General features: G+C 42.8%; 1 annotated feature.

Moving 5' to 3' along the window:
• Positions 392-1,840: an enhancer, noted in NCBI's record as "VISTA enhancer hs1130". NCBI's record gives its function as "enhancer in: limb[6/10]" and the evidence as "EXISTENCE:transgenic organism evidence [ECO:0001131][PMID:17130149]".

The following is a 2,505-nucleotide window of genomic DNA, read 5'->3' on the forward strand; positions in this document are numbered from 1 at the left end:
TTGTTTGTTTGTTTGTTTTATTCTGTTTTGTTTTGTTTGAGACGAGATCCTGTTCTGTCACCCAGACTGGAGTACAGTGGTGTGATCACGGTCATGGTTCACCATGGCATCGACCTCCTGGGCTCAAGGATCATCCACCTCAACCTCTCAAGTAGCTGGTACCACAGGCGTAAACCACTATGCTCGGTTAATTTTTTTGTTTGTAGAGATGAGGCCTTGCTATGTTTCCCAGGCTGGTATTGAACTCCTGGGCTCAAGCGATCTTCTTGCCTTGGCCTCCTAAAGTGCTGGGATTACAGGCATGCTGACACTGCACCTGGCCTTCCTGTACTTTTGACAAGCTGGGAACCACTTGCTGTTTCTGCAGACTGCCTGCCACCTTCTTGCTCATTTCTGAGCCTCTTGGAGATGAATAAGTTAGCTGGGGTAGGAAGAAAAGTCCCCACAATCTCATCTCACTTCGTTTGGGCTTCCTGTTTGGCAGCTAGAGATAGAAGGGGAAGGGAGATTAACGGAGAGAGCCCATAGCCTATGATATGTCTCAGCTTTATGGTCTCCCTCATGAAGGAAGTGTGCCAGTGCCAGGCACAAAGTGGCCAAAACCCCAACCGTGGGAAGCACATTCCAACAGGACTTCTGGAAAATGATTCAGCTGCGCTCACTCCTAATCCAATTTAATGATCCTATTTTGATAGCATTACGTATTTATTTGCTGGTTAGGAGAAAAACCACCACCTCCCAAGGTCTCCCTGCAGGTGCTCTGAAAACAGGGCTACTGGAGGAGCCACTCTTCCTCCCCTCCATTCTGGGCTCAGGTCTTTAATGTGAAAATGTGGCCTTCAGACGTGCTGGGATATTTGAAAGGGCAGGGACCAGGGGTGGGGAGGGTGGCAGTGCTAAAAGTTCTAAACAAGCCAGCTGGGGCGGGAGTGTGGTCGTGAGGGAACATTATCTGGTGTGATTCTTTGTTTTCACGGTATCACCTCCTATTTCTCAGACCAACAGAATCACCAAGCTGTAAACGGCACACCTTACAAATCAGCGTCCCCTGACGTGGTTGGAGCGTTCATTACCAGCTGTAAAGGCACACCAGCAAGAGAGGTTGCTGTTCTGTAGCCCAATTTTCCATCGCAATAACCCAATTAACTGGTGTGTGTGTTTGTTTTACAAAGCTCCAAGCTACAATAAACCATACAGATACGCGGGCTGCAGAAAGCTCTGTAATTAGGACAAGGTGTACAAATTAAACTACTCTTTTTAAACTTCAAACCAGCTAACTTCTGACATACTGTACTGCTGGGGCTTCTGGGACTGAACCCAATTAACATCTTAGTATTTTATAAGCATCGTTTTAATTGCATTTGTATGCAATCTTCTCTCCAAGTGCCTTTCAAGGTGCTAGTCCTTGTTCAGCTTTTATTACTTTGGTGATTTAAATCTTCTCTCTCGGAGGTTCCCGTTAATAATGACTACTGCTACCTCAAATGCTGGTCCAACATAAAACTCGTCTCTCGGAATAATTATGCTTTAAAACAGTTACATTTAACTTTATTATTACATTTTTAATTTTTTTCTCTGTTTGAACATTATGCCCTTAAACGTTTTATCAACCTGTCAGCTCTTGGAAGGGCTGGAAAGGAGATTCTCTTTGAGAACTGGGATCATGGCCTAAACATTTTTTTTTTCCATTCCTCTGCTCACCTTTAGTCTGGAGTAAAGGTGTTTGGTGCCATGGTGATGAGGGGGTATTTGAATGAGTGAATTTGTTTTTTTTTTTTTTTTTTTTTTTTTTTTTTAGTGTCCTTGTGGGTTTTGGGGCATCTTTGTCTATATTTCGGGCATTTTATTCCTGTACAAAATCTAAGGTGGCACCAAACAAAGCAAGGATCAGGATAATATTTTAATGCGATATTTAGAAAAATAAATAAAATCAGGAAACTCTGATCTACAGGCCAGCTGCCTATTTTTGTAAATACAGTATTTTTGGAAACGAGATCATGGTTGGGGTGAGCAGAGTGAGGCATCTTGCATCAGTGCAGAGTAGCTAGTTCCTGCGTTTAGTTAAAATTTTGAAATTGTATTTGTCATAGGTTGTTTTGTGCATTCACTTCTATTTAAAAAATATTTCATTACAATATTATTTATCTTGATTCCTGAGTTTTGGGTGCCCCCTTAAATTGTGCACCCAGATGAGTATCTCATCTGCCTCCCCCTGGTCTTGGCCCTGCTATCATAAGTACAAGGAAGGCTTTAAAAGGGATTTCAACAGACGAAGAAGCACTGAAGGAAAAATTTCACCCAGTGAAAAAAAATGTAGGGAAAAACCCAGCCATATGTTGGTTTATTTCCAAGTACAGTGTGCATAGAAGTCCTCACTCCCTGCTAAGAAGCACCCAAAGCACTGGAGATGCCTGAGTTTATGGGAACAACCCAATGACAAACTCTCCTCCTTCGTAACCCCGAACCACAAAAGCAAGATGTTTTCATAATTTCCCGTCGATGCTT

The sequence above is a fragment of the Homo sapiens genome, chromosome 5 (assembly GCF_000001405.40).
Source record: "Homo sapiens chromosome 5, GRCh38.p14 Primary Assembly".
NCBI lineage: Eukaryota > Metazoa > Chordata > Mammalia > Primates > Hominidae > Homo > Homo sapiens.